This window comes from Homo sapiens, chromosome 2 (genome assembly GCF_000001405.40).
Source record: "Homo sapiens chromosome 2, GRCh38.p14 Primary Assembly".
Classification (NCBI taxonomy): domain Eukaryota; kingdom Metazoa; phylum Chordata; class Mammalia; order Primates; family Hominidae; genus Homo; species Homo sapiens.
The window spans coordinates 63,881,972-63,899,736 of record NC_000002.12 but is presented as its reverse complement, the minus strand read 5'-3'; the positions used below and the strand labels follow the sequence as shown (position 1 = coordinate 63,899,736).

Sequence of the window (17,765 nt, the reverse complement as noted above, 5' to 3'; positions counted from 1 at the left end):
ATGAGTAGCGCAGATCACAGTTGAAAAGTGTAAGCTTAAGTACTATGCCAGAATTGGATATGTGGAGGGACAGTAAATATATGTCTCAGGGAATGGTGGAGACATTATGCAATTCAGAGGACATGAACATAATTCTCATTATTTTTTCCTACCAGTATGAAGTGAAGGCTCCTGTTCCTTCTGCCTGTTTCAGGAATATTTGTAAGCAAATGACAAAAATGCACGAAGCTATATTTGATCTCCTTCCAGAAGAACAAACACAGGTGAGAAGTAATTCCTAAAACTATTCATGTATATATAACATACAATATCTGTACAGAATTGGGGTGTTTTTACATGCTTTTGGCAGTTAAGCTGTTCATGTTCCAATATGATTATCATTTTTTTACATTGTTATATTGACTGGTAGAACATGGATAAAAATTTCTAATTTCTAAGTGCTCCTTGCAGTGACAGACCAGAGCTAGAGCTTTACTATATTATAAACAATTCTAAAAAGTAGGTTTTCCATTTGTCCATGATCAGTAGTCCCAGATTCTGCTTACATCATTTATTACGCTGTTCTTGGAAAATTAGAGTTGGCCTTTATCAATGAGTAGCAAAATATGTTACGGTGATTGTAATTCAAATTGGATATGGAAAGAATTAGTGATAGAGTTAATAAGATTAACACATATAATTAACTCAATCTGCTTTATTGTTATGTCAGCATAAGAGATCTGTAGTAAAGACAAACTAGGAAAAAGAGCAAAATGGAGGGTGGGGGAGTCTTTGACACCTCTCAGCTATGAAGTATCCACCCTTCTATCGCTACTGTATTCCCTTACAAAAGTATTATCACAGAGTTCTCTTCACTCCTCAGTAACAGCTCTACCCGCTACAGCCCTGTTGCGCTCTCCTGGAACTTTGAAGTTTTCAGTATTCCCTTTTTTACCAGTTTTGTTTTTTTTTTTAATCTCAGCTTATTTCCTCTGAACTAAGTGTGCCTGGTTTGTAGAATAAATGGTATAATATTAAAGTCTAGTTGCTGTATGACTAATGAATTTAACTTTCACTGAGATTTCTGCTATTCAGACAAGTTTGTTTATTTCAGTTTGTCTCTCTTACTTGGTTGAGTGCGTGGAAATGGTATTTGGGAGCAGAGGGTGGCTTTCTTAGTGTCTCTTGCCTACTGTTGGTCCTGCTGGTCTCCTTTCCTATGCTACCTCAAACTTCCATCCTATACTAGCTGTTAACATTTTCTTCGTACTTCCCTAGGTTTTCATAAATCATACCAAACTCATGAATAAATATCATGTAACTCCTTTGGGACTCACTGAGGACTGAAGGGGAGCCGTAAAATACGACGTACCCACTAGGGTCGTCTCCTTTTTCCTTCTAATTTCTTCTTAGCCAAGCCATCCTTTCCATTCCACATGTAAGATCCTCCACCTCTGACATTCTAACCTTCTGGATTTGCCATCTGAGTTCTAATTCTAGAGCAGGACTTACCCAGGTCAGGGAGCTGGGCATACAGGTACTTCATGTGTTTTATCTGTGGCGTAATTTAAAGGGTACTCTTGTCAATGCTGGGCAAATGTTATTTTATGTCACTATTGCCACTTGAATACTAGTAATTCCACAAAACTTCCATAGATTATTATATATATTTTTCCCACAGAAAATGTTATTTCACAAAATCATTTCATAATTTCATTGTATATAATTTTAGGTTAGGTATTTCCCAAAGAAATATTGGGTCATTGCATGCAAGAACAATAAAATGCTTTGAAGTGATTTCACTAGATTAGAAGTACGAAGGTATCTTTGCCTCTATCATTATGACATTTTTTCCCCTACCAACTTCCTACTTACTATGTTACAAAATTCCCCACTACTTTTTATTATTTTTACCTGTCACAGTTGATCCCACTTACGGGAATTTTTCCAAAAAGGAGTACTGCTAAGGAGGGTAAAAAGGTTTTTCCAACTAAGGAGAAAAAATGTAGTGAAATAGCAATAGAATACTTTCAGAGGAGGATTTTAAAAGTATATGTCAAAGCAAAGGTTTTGGTTTTTAAAAATACTTTCTCTAAATAATATTGATAACTCAGATATCTTCTATTTCAGTAGAACTTTAAGAAACTTAGTTTTATTTCTTTTTCAGATGTTATTTTTAAGAATTAATGCAAGTTATAAACTCCACTTGAAAAAGCAGTTATCTCACTTAAATGTGATAAATGATGGAGGACCTCAAAATGGGTATGTTTTTTAACGTTTTCACCATATACTCCCATATCGAATTGTTTTAATGATCAGTTTTGATTATTTGTGCCATCCTTTTCTGCTGTAATCACACTGAAGACCAACGTTGTAAAATCAGCAAGCTTTTGTGTTTTTTTTTTCCCCTGTGGAAATATCTGTTTCTATCTAACTATCTAAAAGGGGTTTATACATGGACAATTGCTTACCTGACGTTATGTATCTGTTTTGAGGCAGTGTGAATTAGTAGCACTTCCTTAGTTACCCAATAGCTTTCCCTATTCCAAACAGGATTCAGAAGTCCTACTGTGTGACCATGTGAATGTCACTTAACCTGTGTGCCACATTTATAAAATAACAAGGATGAAATCTGTCTTAATTCTTTCACAGGGTTATGAAAAATAATATATGTGTGTATATGTATATATTTTATTGTAAGCTATTGAAAGATTGTATATATTACTGTAAAATAGCATAGTACATAGAAAGCATAGGGTAGGACTTAGAATCTGAAAACTTGGGTTAAGTTCTAGTTCTGTCACTTACTAGCTGTTGTAACTTTGGGCAAATCACTTACTCCCCCTCAGCTTAGGTTTTTTAGATTTGAAAATAGGGATGATGATAAAAGTTTCCTTAATAGGATTTTTTGAAGAGTTATGTAGATAAAGATATGGGGAAGAGATTTTATAAAATTTAAAGCACTGATCATTTAGTTACGTATTAATATCAATTCTTTAGTGTTCTAGGGTTTTTAGGAATAAAATTTTATTTCCTGTTAAAGGAATTTCAGGCTCAAATTTCAAACTTATAAGAACAAATGGAAAATGAAAAAAATGTATGTTGGGGTCAGAAGTTGGCCCTGCCATTTAAGAAGAAGTACAGTGAATCAATTTTGCAAAGAGCTATGTGAAAGCTTCATTCTGTTGAATCTGTTAGGCTGAATTTAAGAGTTTTATGCAAGAATGATAGTCTTATTATCTGATTCTTCTTTTTCTTTTTAAAGAATTATTTGTTTTCAAAAATTTCAAAGCCATGGAACACTTAAAGGACAATAATGAACACTGAATAGCTTTTACCTAGATTTATCAACTGTTAAAATTTTGCCACATACTCTCTGCCACTTTTGCTCCTTCTCCCTCCCACCCCCATACCTCCCTTTTGACAAACAACCAAAAAAGTAGGCTGCAGTCATAAAATTTAACCCTTAAATACTTTGGCATGTGTCTCTAAAAACAAGGACATTTTTATACAACCGTAATACCTGAACCCCACCTAAGAAAATCAACATTAATAGCGTTATACCAACATAGAGTCAGATATTTTCAGCAAGAACATCACATGTGGTGACGCTGTGTATATCTCTCACTTGATGTCAGATGATACAAATGGTACATACATAAGAGACCTGCTCCTGAAAAGATAATAGCATATTAGAAACTTAGGAGACTCTTGGTAGAGATGTATACTGGGTACCTTAAAGAGGCTGTTCAAAAAAAGCTAATAATATTTTTAAGGCCTAACCCTGCTCATACCCTTTTACTTTTATTCCCATAACTAAATCTGGGTTGGTTAGTTGGGTTTTTGTAGACCAGTAGTTCTGAAGCACCCAAGCTAACTCGTTAGCTGTTACTTTTCTTTCTTAATATAGCTATTTGGAAGTCAGTCTGACCTTAGAGAATCCTCACTGTCACATGCTAACAGAAACTCATTCTTTATAAGTCAATTCATGTCTTTGAAATATCCCTGAAGATTAACCTCTACCCTGTAGCCAAGGACATAAACTACCTGCTTAAAAGTTTTTGTTTCTGAAATTGCTCTAAAAATGTAGCTTTTGACTTTTTTTGAGGTGAAATTCACATAACATAAAATTAACTATTTTAAAGTGAACAATTCAGTGGCACTTAGTGTCTTCACAGTGATGCGTAACCGCCACCTCTATCTAGTTCCAAACATTTTCACTACTCCAAAAGAAAATCCTGTACCCATTAGGCAGCTGCTTCCTATTTCTCCCTCTCCCCAGCCCTGTACTTTGATTTTATTTTGAGATGGAGTATCACTCTGTCACACAGGCTGGAGCGCAGTGGCGTGATCTCAGCTCACTGCAACCTCCACCTCCCAGGTTCAAGCAATTCTCCTGCCTCAGCCTCCCAAGTAGCTGGGATTACAGGCACGTGCCACCACGCCTGGCTACTTTTTGTATTTTTAGTAGAGACGGTTTTACCATGTTGGCCAGGCTGGTCTTAAACTCCTGACCTCAGGTGATCTGCCTGCCTCGGCCTCCCAAAGTGCTGGGATTATAGGTATGAGCCACTGCACCCGGCCCAGCTCTGTACTTTTTAATGTGATTTTTTTTCCTCTAAGATATTTTAAAAATAGACACATACAGAGAATAATAAATTATTTATATTTCTACTACCCAGAATTGATCAACATTTGTCATTTTCTCTTGAAAAAAATATTTATTGTATTTTTAAAATGGTATTCAAAAAATTGCATTCCAGATGAAGCTAAGTACACCTTTACACCCCATCTGCAGTCCGATTCCCTTTTTCTCCCAGCCTTTAGGTAACATTTCCAGTGAATTTAGTCTACATTCTTTTAGTCTTATTTATTGTACCTAGATTTATGAAAAATATGTAGTGCTGTTTTGTAAATTTACTTATATGGTATATTGCATATATGCAGCTTGCTTTCTACTAGGCATTTTTACTGATTTATCTATGTTGATATATGTTTAGTAGTCTGTTTTTGACTGCTGTACAGTATTCCATCAAACAACCTTTTTTTTTTTTTTGGAGACAGGGTCTCATGGTCACACAGGCTGGAGGGCAGTGGTGTGATCATGGCTCACTGCAGCCTCAACCTCCGTGGCTCAAGCAATCCTCCCACTGCAGACTCCCCAATAACTGCGACTACAGGTGTGTGGCACCACACCCAGCTAATTTTTTTAATTTTTTGTAGAGACGAGGTCTCACTATGTTGCCCAGGCTGGTCTTAAACTCCTGAGCTCAGGTGATCCTCCTGCCTCAGCCTCCCCAAGTGCTGGGATTACAGGTGTGAGCCACTGCTCCTGGCCATGAATCAGCCATAGATAAATTAGACATTTCCCCTAGTGATAAATTGCTAAGTCATTACTTTTTTCCATTATAACCATGCCATACTGAAGATCTTTATACATGTCTAATGGTGTGACCATTTCTTCAGGGCATATACCTATAAGTGAATTGGAGCTAATACACTTTTCATATTGTTAGGTATTGACAGTGGCTGTACCAACTCCCACATTAGTGGAGTAGTTTGTGAGAATTTGTTTCCCACATCTTTTCAACATTTGCTGTTAGATTTCCTAATTGTTGCTAGTCTGATGGGGGATAGTAGTACCTTGTTTTGATTTGCATTTTCCTGACGTTTACCATTTTTTCAGTTTATTGGTTATTCAGGTGTTTTCATCTGTGACTTCTTATGTTCTTTCCTATTTTTCTCTTGGGTTTTTAAAGAAATATCCAGTATCGCTTATATACATGAATACTAGTCTGTATTTAACGCCTTAGATGACACTTAGAAACCTAGCCTGCTTTTCCCTTGAGTTTACTATTTTAGTCAGCACTCCCATACTCTAGTGCTAACCAATCAAAAACATTTTAGTTTAGCCTGTTATTTTCTCTGTATATTAATTCATGCTGTTTCAAGATAAATCTGATTTTCTTGGGCTGAATTTATCATGAAACTGACTCTAACAGCCATTGGTTTATTCATTTTCCAAATATTTATTATTGAAGTACAGCATTAAATGGCCTACTTATTCATAGCAGGAATCCTGCTAAGTAAAGTATTTGGACACTTGGGCACTAAGAAATCTGAATTTTAGATAATAGGACTCTGACTCGGTGAGCACTGTTACTTTAATTATCTGAATAGAAAGTTTGAGATTTAAAAAATAATTTTCTCTCCATTATTTAGGTTGGTCACAGCAGATGTAGCTTTTTACACTGGAAATCTTCAAGCCTTAAAAGGCCTTAAAGATTTGGACCTAAATATGGCCGAAATTTGGGAGCAGAAGAGGTGATGTCATCCTGGAAAACTGGGTAGTTCATCTGACCATGGGATGTGTTTGTTATGAAGAAAATCTGGATGCCTGTGATTCGAGAATTGAACCTGAAACCCAAAGTGAACTGGGGTGGGGGAAGGGAAAAAGGAAAGTATCAAGTGTTGGGAAACTGGATTCAGTGGGATCTACAAGGAATGTCATTTTTGTGCATCCTACAGTGAGGAGTAACTGATCAGGTGTCTATAACATTTTTCATTCTCTCTGGAAACAGACTCAGGTTTCTTTGGACCAAATCCAAAAGAACACATAGCTGTAACACAGCTGTAGTTGACTAGAATGCTCTGTATACTTTATATTAAAAAATGCTTTGCATTTCTTCCAGTGCAATGAAATTCATATGGTGTCCCACCTTATTTAATGATGGTACAATTTAAAATCTTAGTCAACTTCTGTAGAAAGTTTTCTCTATGAAAGTAAAGCTGTTTGAAAAATTATTATTTTTTTACAGATCTTTCTATAAAAAATAAACATCTTTTGATTGCTTGGATTTAGGAATTCAATTTTTGTTTCAGTGACCAATGTCAAGTTGCAGGCTTTGTGTGTTGCATATTTAATATTTCTACTACCACCGTATGTCAACTGGGTAAAGCCTTCCAGAGCTCTCTAAATACCTGAAAGACTTAAGCCTTTTTTTAAGTAATTAATACTTAAAAAAAAAGATCCTGGCATCTATTTATGCAACTAAATACTTTTCAGAAATGGTATATAAAAGGCTACAGTTTAATATCTGTATTTTTATAAAAGTATGATGAAGGGTTTGGGGTGTTTTTATTTGTAGCAGAGGTAAGAATATGTATTCATATAATCTGCCTACTTTTGAGTTCTCATATTAACATTTAGATAACATATGAAGTATGGCCCCCTTGGATCCTTGTTTTTAAGTTACTTTCGATGTGTATACGAACAAAGACCAGGGAGAAACAGAACTTTTAAAACTATAGGCTGCTGTGTTGGGGCCAGAAATAAGGTGACAAGTAAAGACTTTTATAATACCTACCTTCAAAATTAGAATCAGCAGCACTGTACAAATAAAGTGCCTGTGCTTCACCTCACACCAAGAATCTTGCCTAACCCTGTCAGAGTGCCTAATATCCTGTGGTGATTATGTATAATGAAACAGTCTTATTTTGTGCTCTTTGGTTTCTTAAAAGGAAAGCTTGTTTTCTTTCCTTTATCATTACAGAGGTATGTCTTTGGTTCTTAAACTATCTGTCTAAAATAAAGCTGTAAAAAATTAACAGACTTTAAAAGGCAACTTTTTTTTAAGTGGTATATTGTGAACTTTAAACAAGCAGCCTACTCAAAACAAGTATGGATGAATTTAAAGAAAAGGCATAAATTGAACTACCAGCAGACCTGAATGGAAAGATTATTAATGATCATTTTTTCAGTGATAATAAACAAGCTTCAGGAAATGAAGCTTCAGGGAAAGGGAACTTTTTATGAAGCTATACCCCCTACCTCACTATAGAAGAGTACAAGGATGTGAAGAAATGCCTTCCCTTTGCCCACCCCCGTCAGCTGGGAAAATAAATGCCACTTTGTTTCAATAAATGGAGAGTTTGTGGAAAGCATGGCAGGCATCCCAGTTTTAGAACTAGATGAAAGGTAGGTACTAAAGAAAATACCTTCAGTTTAATTCCTGTGGAAATAATGGTATGATTAAGATTCTTAGAAATGCCAAAAACTGGACTCATTAAGTACACACTGGCTAGGTAACTAGCCAGTGTGTACTTAAAGGGCAAATCTTCCAACTAATATAGTAACTGTCTAACAACAATAAACCAGTTTATAGTTAGCATTATAAAGTACCAGTGTACACAAGTATTGCTTCACTGCTTTATTTTTGAAATCACAAGCAATTCAAAGTGATCATCATTGAGGCTTCTGTTAAAAGTTCTTCCAAAGTTGCCCAGTTTTAAGATTAAACAATATTGCACTTTAAGATGAACTAACTTTTGGGATTCTCTTCAAAGAAGGAAAGTATTGCTCCATCTGTGCTTTTCTTAGACTAAAAGCATACTGCAGAAAACTCTATTTTAAAAATCAACACTGCAGGGTACAGTAACATAGTAAAGTACCTGCCTATTTTAGAATCCTAGAGAACATTTCATTGTAAGAAACTAGCCCATTATTTAAGTGTCCACAGTATTTTTCATTTCAGTGGTCCAAGATGCGAAGGTTTCCAGACACAATCTTGTTCTCTAATACTGCTCCAGGTGGGATATCAATTCTGTCACCATGATTTGCAATGATGATAACCGTTCCCTAAGTGACAGGGAAAACAAAAGAGTGTACTTGCAACTGAAATGCAATTTGATTATCTTACAGTGATCAAGTTTATGTACAACTTTTTTTTTTTTACAGTGAAGTAACTTTTTTTATAAACAATATTAAACATGAAAAACAAATAACAGTTAAGGAAAATTGTAATGTGTCCTTCTGTAACAATCCTGGCAGTAGTTCTAGATTCTCTGTCTCCTTGTTAGAGGTAGAACTAAGAGCGGGAAGTGGACCCGGTGCCACAGCATGGCCAGCCCCTTTTGGAGGCCTACTTGCAAGGCCACCAGCATTATCTAACCTTCATAGAGAAATTAAAAGGTGCTTGGTTTACATTTACATATAGGGCTTTTGTTGTTGTTTTTATAACAGTTTACTGATAAGATTTTTCATGTCTTAAGTCTTTAGGCAGTCTCAGCAATAAAATTCAATATATGTATTTGTTTTTTCAAGATCTTCATTTAAGTAAGTAGCTTTAATGGGAGGAGTATATGAAATCTAGTTAGGAGATTTTTTAAAAAATTACATGATTTGGAAAAAGCTATTGTATCTTTGGTGAGCTTTAATACTTTTATACCCCCGTTTCCCTCCTATTTCTTACGTGAGGCTGGAATGACACTGAAGAGTACCTGAGTACTACAATAATGTAAATGAATATTCTTACAGTGATAACATTCCTTTAATAGGTTATATTCAGTACAAATTGTCATTTTTTTTCTGCTTTTACTCAATCATCTTTAGTAAGCTAATGCTAATAGTGATCCTATTTTAAAGATTCTCATTTCAGTAAAATAATTACACTAGTAATTAAGGTGGCACTAAGACTAACAAGTATTCCTTAAAGTAAATGTAAATTTATGACTAGAAAATGAGACCTATATTGTAAGCTGTAAGAAATATAATTTTCATTGTAACAACATACCTTTAATGAAACATTTTTTCCAAATGTCACATCTCCTGAAACTGTGAGGTGATCCAATTCAAGCATATCTGGTATACTTTCAAATCTTCTTAGATAATCTTGAACCTTACAGAAAAGGAGAAACATAAAAATTTGTCTCAAATGGGTTCAAAGAAAGACAGGAAAAATATTAACAAGAAAGTTTAACTGAACTGTAGAAACCTTTTTTGGCAAAGCTCAGGTCCTCTGTGGGAAGCACCTACTTATTAAGCACTCATTATATGCTAAATGCCGTGCAGGAAAGACCAGGAGCTACAAACATTGTTTTTACACCAAGCAATTTACAAGATAGTTGAGCAGATCTAAGGGTTTTTTTTCTTTTTTTTTTTAAAGATAATCAACATGCCAAGAGCCAGATGAATAGTTCACACAATCTGAATTTAACTGAAAAAAAGAGATCATGCTTTGAAGCAGGCTAGACTGGAGCTGGACTTTAGTGGATAGGTCGGATTCTGAAAAATTAGAGCACATTTTAGGAAGAGCAACAGCACAAATTATTATGTTATCACCATCTTTGTCTTTTTATTTCCTTAGATTTACAAGCACTAGAGATTGTCCTATGTGACCCCGTTTCCTATTTTGCTGGGAAAATGGGAGCAATTAGAAAACTTCCACTTGTTTCCATCCACCACCACCACTACTTTGCCCCCATTGCCCATTACTCTGCCTTCCTAGTACTGGAATTGGACTGCTTCTATTCCTACTTAAAGCCAGCCTCTCCATTTGTTCATCAGATCCCTTCTTATGGCCTATCAAGTGTTGTTTCAGCAACTCTCCCTCTTCAGTCTTTTTTCCCTCCTGACTGCATTCCCATTAATGTATAAACATCCTCCCATTAAAAAAAAACAAAAACTCAAATCCTATATTCCTTTCTACCTATAGCCCCATTTCTCTGTTTCTCTTTAAGGCAAAACTCTTGAGTTTTCGATATTCATATCTCCAATTCCTCGTTTTTCATTCTCTTTTAAATCCATGCCTGTGAGGCTCCCAAACCTCCATACTGATAAATCTAATTCTCATCTTACTTGAATCAGCAGCAGCATTTGACACATGATCAATCCCACTTGAAATATTTTCTTCATTTGACTCTGAGGACACATGCATTCATAGTTTCTAATTCCCCATCTGCATTCTACACATCCACAGCAGGTGGCACCAAACCACACCTGCTGTGGACTAAAACAGACTTGGATGGCAGAGCAGGACCCCATAGGCCAACCACAAAGGCTCACAGTGTCACATTTCATTGATTAAATTTTTTGGATTTCACTTATCAGGCTAGGTTGGAGTTTTACAGCAGGTCCACAGATAGTGCTGTTTTGTTCAATGTTACTTTGTTATAACGCTGATGAGGGGAAAAAAAGGATTGCCAGCCAGGGCTACTGTCTGTGTGGAGTTTGCACGTTCTCCCCACATCTGTGTGGGTTTTCTCCAACTATTCTGGTTTCTTCCCACATCCCAAAGATGTGCATGTTAGGTGAACTGGTGTGTCTACATGGTCCCAGTATGAGTGTGGATATGTGTGAGTGTGCCCTGAGATGGGATGGCGGCCTGTGCAGGGTTGGCTCCTGCCTTGTGCCCTGAGCTGCCGGGATAAGCTCTGGTCACCAGTGAACCTGAACTGGAATAAGTGAGTCAAGAATTATCTTGTTTTTATTAATCAATGTATGTACAGCTCACATTTATTTCAGAGTTTAATATTAGAAGTGTTTTGTTTTTAAAATTTGGTGATATTTTTGTGACCAGAAATAAACTGTAGGAACTGAACTCTTGTTTATATCAATTAGCCTATGGCAAAATGTGTTACACATTGTTCTGCTTACTGTGGCAGTTTCCAAGAACATACTGATGACACTGAGGATGTACTGTACTTGCTATTCCACCTGTCTAGAACACTTTTTGCACTAGATACCGATTTGTCAGACTCAATCAACTCAATGAGGCTGCCTGTGGCCACTCAATGTAAAATTACACCATCAACACCACCCCGCCACCTCCCCAGGCATTCCCTATTCTCCACCCTTGCTTTGTTTCTCCATAGCATTTTCCACCACTTGGTATATCATACATTTACTTACTTATCATCCTTTCCCCACTAGAATGTCAATTCCGTGAAGACAAAGATTTAGTCTGTTTTGTTTACTGCTAAATCCCTAGAACCTAGAACACTGCCCAGTACATGATAGGCATTCAATAAGTATTTGTTAAGCCAGAATTAACCTTTTCCCACTGATGAAAGCAGTACTGGTCTTGGAAGAGACAGAAGATAAAATGCCCCAAAATTTAAAGATTATTTTCTACTCTCCATATGGCAATCATGTTTCAAATGTGAAGTAAAATATTTATCTTCTATGGTCAATTCCCTTTAAAAGGTATCAAAGACAGAGGAATACAACAGGTCAGTGGTAGAGACTGTAATTAGTCTCCAATTCACATGTATATCATATCTTTATAATTACACATTTAAGAAATATGAACTCACATATCTTTATAGTTACGTACCTTCGTAAAAGAACTGCCTAATTTAACCAAGGGCACTGTAGGAAATTCCCGCTTTTCACTCATTGTCAGAGATCCTGCATTAAGACTATAGAGGTTTGACATCACCAGCAAGAGATCTGATGTGGTTTTGACAGGCAGAAAACGGCTCCTTGGCACATTAATACCTAGAGAATTCTCAAAACTTTTGATGGCAGCCCCTACTGCAGTTTCTAATTGAATGACATTCAGGCCTCCATCCAAAGTCTGTAAGAAATTAGGGGTGGGGAATAGAAAACAGAGGTTTTAGGCACCTACAACTTAGTTCCATGTAGGTTAGTTAATATTTGGGAAGTGATTTCAGAGATCCATTGATGGAAAAAAAAAAATTTTTTTTTTTTTTTGAGAAGGAGTCTTGATCTGTCACCCAGGCTGGAGTGCAGTGGCGCAATCTCGGCTCACTGTAGCCTCTGCCCTCCTGGGTTCAAGCAATTCTTATGCCTCAGCTTCCCGAGTAGCTGGAATTATAGGCATGTGCCACCTACCCAGCTAGTTTTTTGTATTTTTAGTAGAGATGGGGTTTCACTATGTTGGCCAGGTTGGTCCTGGCCTCAAGTGATCTGCCGGCCTCGGCCTCCCAAAATGCTGGGATTACAGGTATAAGCCACTGAGCCTGGCCAGAAAAATAATTTTGAGAACTGACATTTATCAAGCACCTATCATATGCCAAACTCTTAAACATGTAATCTTTTTTCAGTCTTAAAACTCTTCTGTTCAGTAATATCATTTCATGATAAACCATAGGTTCAGAAAACTCATGCAAAGTACCGATGGCCAAATGACCTATGAGTGTCAGAGCAACAACTAAGACTGAAGTAGGTTCTCTACTTTTGAAGCCCAGTGTTTTTGCCACTACCACAACCCAGGGTCAAATATAGGGCACCATAACTTGGCACACTAGAGGGGTGACAGCAGATTCTGGAAGACAGGGCTAGGAACTAGAGTCTGAAAAGGCAAAAGGGAGTGACCAATGGAATAGATGGGACAGAGGGAGTGGGCGATGGGGTCTGTGTGTAGCCTACTATGACCTTAGGAACCAGGAAGCTCAATGGGCCACAACCTTGGCTTACCTTTGCATTCACAATGATTTCCATGTCAATGGCATTTTGCTCCTGCAGTCTTTTAACTGCTGCAAGAGAAATCCATAGGTTGTTTGTATTAAATATTTTGAACTTTGATACAGACTTGAACTCGTCTACATGTGCTTTTGGCACTTGAGCAATTTCCACCAGTCTCAGTTTGCCTTCATATTGAGTGAGTGTCCCGCCCTAGAAAGGCAGAAAATAGTGAGTGCCTCCACATCAGTCTCAAGTGCATTTTTTTGTAAATACAAAGATAGTGATTATACAAAAAATATATAAATACATTATGTAGAAACAGAGTAAATTTTCATAAAAGGGACAATGAAATAACATTTAAATGCCAAACTAGAAGAGTATTAAAGGTTTGGACAACTTTACTGAAAGATTTCACATGTTTCAGATTTTTGCCATAAATATGTATGAAATTATTTTAGTTAAAATTACTGATGTAGCTTATCCAAAAAAATAGAGATGATTTTGATACTATTTATTATGGATTTATGATACATACTATTATGTCAAACAGAACATATTAAATGTGTTGTTTAACATAGAAACTTTCAAATAAAAAAGTCTTTAACTTCATAACTTACGAAATGTGAAAACATGAAGCCCTAAACTGCTTCCTCTCGGTATTTACCTTTACATCTGCACGTGTTTTATTTGTGACTTCCATGACAAATTCACAGCGTTTTCCATTGGGTGGGTTCATTAGATGATTAAGAATATACAGATCCACTGTGGCACCCAGATTATCTATGTTAGACACAAAAATATACTCTTTGCCTTCTCCTATAAAGGTATCAAGCAATCCAGAGTTGTAGAAACTGGCGTAAATATCACCATGACCTGGAGGGTACCAAGCTTCTGTATTTTCCCCTGAGTAAGACACGTCCTTTGCTACAGGAAGTAAAGATTCTTTATTAATCCTCGGGTACCTTTAAAAAAAAAAAAGTTCTTTTTCAATATTGACCCTGTAGAGCATTTCAGGCCTTTAAATAAAATAATACATTAAAGTTAAATAAAATTTCACTTCTTTTCAGAGTCTATCAATAAGTAATTTAATTATAGGTGAATCCATTTAAGAAAATCTCTCAGTATCTGTGTTGTCCAAAATCTGTTTTCCAGATGGTGATAGCTGCTGCAAAAACATGTCTCTATGGTCATACAGATGGGAGGACCCATCATATTTTTAAGATATTCATGTTTTATGACTCTCCAAAAGAAGGGATGTATCAAGTAAATTTTCTCAAACTTATGTAGTTGTGAGATTGTTCTTTTCCCTGAAAACCTATCTGGGAAATACTGCCCATTCTTACAAATGGATATATTCAGGGGTGGATCTCTTTCTTTCCCAGAAAATAAGCACCAGGTTAGCATTCCAAGATGTCTGCTTCCCACCACTAGTAAGAAAGGTAAAGCTGGTGATGGGGCAAGAGGAAAACGGGAGCTAGCACCGCAACAGACTAAAGACTAGAAAATAAAGGCAAAACATCTGCAAAGTAAAAAAAAAAAAAAAAAAAAAAAAAAAAAGTAACCATGGGAAATAGATCTTAAAAACAACCAAACAAACTAATGACACAACTTTAGAAATGTCCTTCTTTTTTATTTTTATTTTTATTTTATTTTTGAGATAGGGTCTTGCTCTGTTGCCTAGGCTGGAGTACAGTAGCACAAACAGCCTCGACCTCCTGGGCTCAAGTGATACTCCCACCTCAGCCTCCCAAGTAGCTGGGCTACAAGGGCACACCACCAATGCTAATTTTTAAATTTTTTTTGTAGAGACGACGTCTCATTATGTTGCCCAGGCTGGTCTCAAACTCCTAGGCTCAAGCAATCCTCCTGCCTTGGCTTTCCAAAGTGTTGGAATTACAGGTATAAGCCACCACACCCAGCCTCAAAACATCCCTTCTGTACAAGTTCATGTGGACTGATGTCCATCCCTTAAATGGAAGTCTTATTTCTCCAGTTTCCTGGCCTTCAATCAGAATTCATCATCTGAATTTACTTTTTACTCACTATTCCCCAAAGATTTCCTCCAGAATTTATTAAATTACCCCAAGCCCATAAAAGGTGTTGAAGAAATTCCTTTCCATAGGAAAGGTTATCAATAATGTAGGAATATAAAAAGATTTTCACAGACCCACCTGGAGACCAAATATGCTCTCAGAAAGCAAAGGCTTAAACTATCCCCAAATATTCTGGACATGGAACAGAGTCTCAAGCAGACTGAATTTTAAGAACTGGAAATTAGAGAACCAGAGTGATTATAACAATCACATATCAACAAATGCTCAGCTTTTATGGGCATCAAACACTTGTGAACATCAATATTTGGTACCTGTACATCTTGAAACTGCTCTGTTATAAACAAGATAAAGAAGTCCTTTCCCAGGAGTAACATACCCAGAGTTAATTTTTTACTCATTGTACCTGCTTTGATTGAAAGTGTAGATTTTCACACGACAATGATTGTACTTCTGTAGTATTTTTTTGGTATCTTCATCCGTGTTAAAAGAGTTCATTAAAACAAGAGGAACATCTGTATTGTAGGTTTTATTCAAATGCTAGGGAGGAAAATGACAATTAGATTACCCAGACTCACTTTTCTTTTGCTCAAATATGCAAAATTAGTTCTTAATGGTTAAATCATAAAATATCTAAAACATCATCTGTACGTAGCCAAATATACAGATTTGACAAAAAACTGCTCAGCACGAGCCAGACATTTTGCTAAGCAATTCACCATGCACTTGCTCATTAAATCACTACCCTCTGAGATAGAAACTACTGTCTGCATTTTACGGATGTCTAAACTAAGGCCCAGATAGGTGGTGGGTCTGGCAATGGCAGAGGCAGGACCCCCACCTCCCCACCCTAGGCAGTTTGAGTCTGGAGCTTGTGTACAGCCACAGTGCTCTGTGGCCTTACTGGGTAGGCAAGTGCTGATTACGCATTTACTCTATGTTAACATCTCTGTAGGGATGAAAGTATAAATGTGACAAAGACATGGCTCCCTACTCTCAACATTAATGATCAAAAATTTTGAATCACACCCCAGCTGAAATCTTTTCAACCTCAGAAGAGCTACGAGGCAGCAGAGTGTGAAGAAAACAGGGTCTTAGAAGTCACACTGCCCTATGTTAAAATTTTAATTCTGCACTTACTAACTATCTTGGGAACCTTGGGCAAGTAACCAACCTCTTGTGCTTTGGTTTCCTCATTGGTAAAATGGGGATAACAGTACTTACCTCACAGAGTTGTTGAGAGGAACAAATGAGTAAATTCATATAAAGAGCTCAGAATAATACTTGGTGGACAATAAGTGCTGAATACATGTTAGCCACTGCTACAACTTGCATTAGGATTATAGTTGCCAGCACCATACTAGGCATTAGGATAAGGAGATGGAAAAAATAAGGCCACTGCCCCAAAAGAGCTTATGGTGTACGATTAATGACTTTGTCCTAAGAGAGAAGCCAAGAACAGTTCTTAGCATGCATGACCTGCAGCCAAATACACAGCATCCTCCCCACCACCCTCCCAAAAGGGGTTAATAAAGCAAGATCATCCCAGCCTTGATGAAGGCTGCCACCAGAAAGAAAGTGGGTAGAGCAGTGGGAGATCAAAAGAGAATCTCAACAGACCCAGAGATTTCAACAACCACAGGTGCTATTTAAGATCAAAAGCCTTTACATAACCTTAAGGATTTGCCCTTAAGAACACTAAACCTTTTTTCCACCAATAAAGAGATTAAAGATAGCAGGCTCTTTGGTTAGCTCAAATTCACATCTGCTACATTTTATAACATTTATGATAACTTAAAAACTAAAAACTATTTTAGTATCTCATGAGAAAGGCTAAATGTTACTCACTTCAATTTGCTGAACAGTCAGATCCAGAAAGGTATTCTCATTCCTCACACCAATCAGACTTTTAGGGCCTTTGCAGCCCATGCTGGTTCCCAAACCACCATTGAGTTTCACCACCACTAGTTTGTTCAACACGGAAGATATATTATCAGGCAAGCCCCTGGCCTTTATCTTTTCATAGGGTTGAATCTGAAAGAAAAATAACATTATAGGAGTAATTTAAACAGCTTTAAGGGACGTTAAAGCATATCAATCCCAGGGTTATTTCCATGCTTCCATAAAGTTTCGGTTTCTCTGTGGAAAGTTTTAATCAACTTTTCTTTAATGTCATAGGCCCTTGTGGTTCAAAATCAAGTACTTTAACAGGCAACTTCCCTTGCACACAGTAGTTCAGTGGCTCATTTACTTTACAATGGAGTACGAGAAGGGGGAAAAAGTTGTAGGCCCTATATATTGTCTGGCTGGTTAAGAACATCCAGATCTCTTGGAGTATCTTCAAACACTCAATTCCCATTTTGCATCAACATAGCAAATGATCAAGTCATTTATTTAGAATCATCAAGTCTAAATATTTCTGTTGTACTGTGGCTCTACTTCAATTCTGGAGAACTACATATAAAATTACACATTATTCCTTCTACCACAGGAGGCAAATACCAAAACACACTTGTTCTTTGCCATTC

The 17,765-nt window shown here is 36.8% G+C and overlaps 2 protein-coding genes across 16 annotated transcripts in view, besides 1 other annotated feature; one reads left to right on the top strand and one right to left on the bottom strand.

Moving 5' to 3' along the window:
• The window catches only part of VPS54 (VPS54 subunit of GARP complex), a 127,279-nt gene extending 119,692 nt beyond the window's left edge, over positions 1–7,587 (top strand). For all 7 annotated transcript variants that reach the window (XM_017004316.2, NM_001005739.2, NM_016516.3 and 4 more), the window contains 3 exons: positions 156–263; positions 2,147–2,241; positions 6,202–7,587. In XM_017004316.2, the coding sequence (XP_016859805.1) occupies positions 156–263; positions 2,147–2,241; positions 6,202–6,307 (309 nt within the window). In that variant the 3' untranslated portion in view covers positions 6,308–7,587. The remainder of the gene's footprint in view (positions 1–155; positions 264–2,146; positions 2,242–6,201) is intronic.
• The window catches only part of UGP2 (UDP-glucose pyrophosphorylase 2), a 50,592-nt gene continuing 41,003 nt past the window's right edge, over positions 8,177–17,765 (bottom strand). For all 9 annotated transcript variants that reach the window (NM_001377529.1, NM_001377525.1, NM_001377526.1 and 6 more), the window contains 7 exons: positions 17,086–17,271; positions 15,644–15,777; positions 13,851–14,148; positions 13,199–13,396; positions 12,093–12,335; positions 9,552–9,656; positions 8,177–8,617 (listed from right to left, as the gene is read on the bottom strand). In NM_001377529.1, coding sequence (NP_001364458.1) covers positions 8,510–8,617; positions 9,552–9,656; positions 12,093–12,335; positions 13,199–13,396; positions 13,851–14,148; positions 15,644–15,777; positions 17,086–17,166 — 1,167 coding nt within the window. In that variant the 5' untranslated portion in view covers positions 17,167–17,271 and the 3' untranslated portion in view covers positions 8,177–8,509. The remainder of the gene's footprint in view (positions 8,618–9,551; positions 9,657–12,092; positions 12,336–13,198; positions 13,397–13,850; positions 14,149–15,643; positions 15,778–17,085; positions 17,272–17,765) is intronic.
• Positions 10,628–10,922: a silencer, noted in NCBI's record as "tiled region #3928; HepG2 Repressive DNase matched - State 25:Art, and K562 Repressive DNase unmatched - State 12:CtcfO". NCBI's record gives its function as "represses a minimal TATA promoter and a strong SV40 promoter by Sharpr-MPRA in HepG2 and K562 cells {active_cell/tissue: HepG2 | K562}" and the evidence as "EXISTENCE:reporter gene assay evidence [ECO:0000049][PMID:27701403]".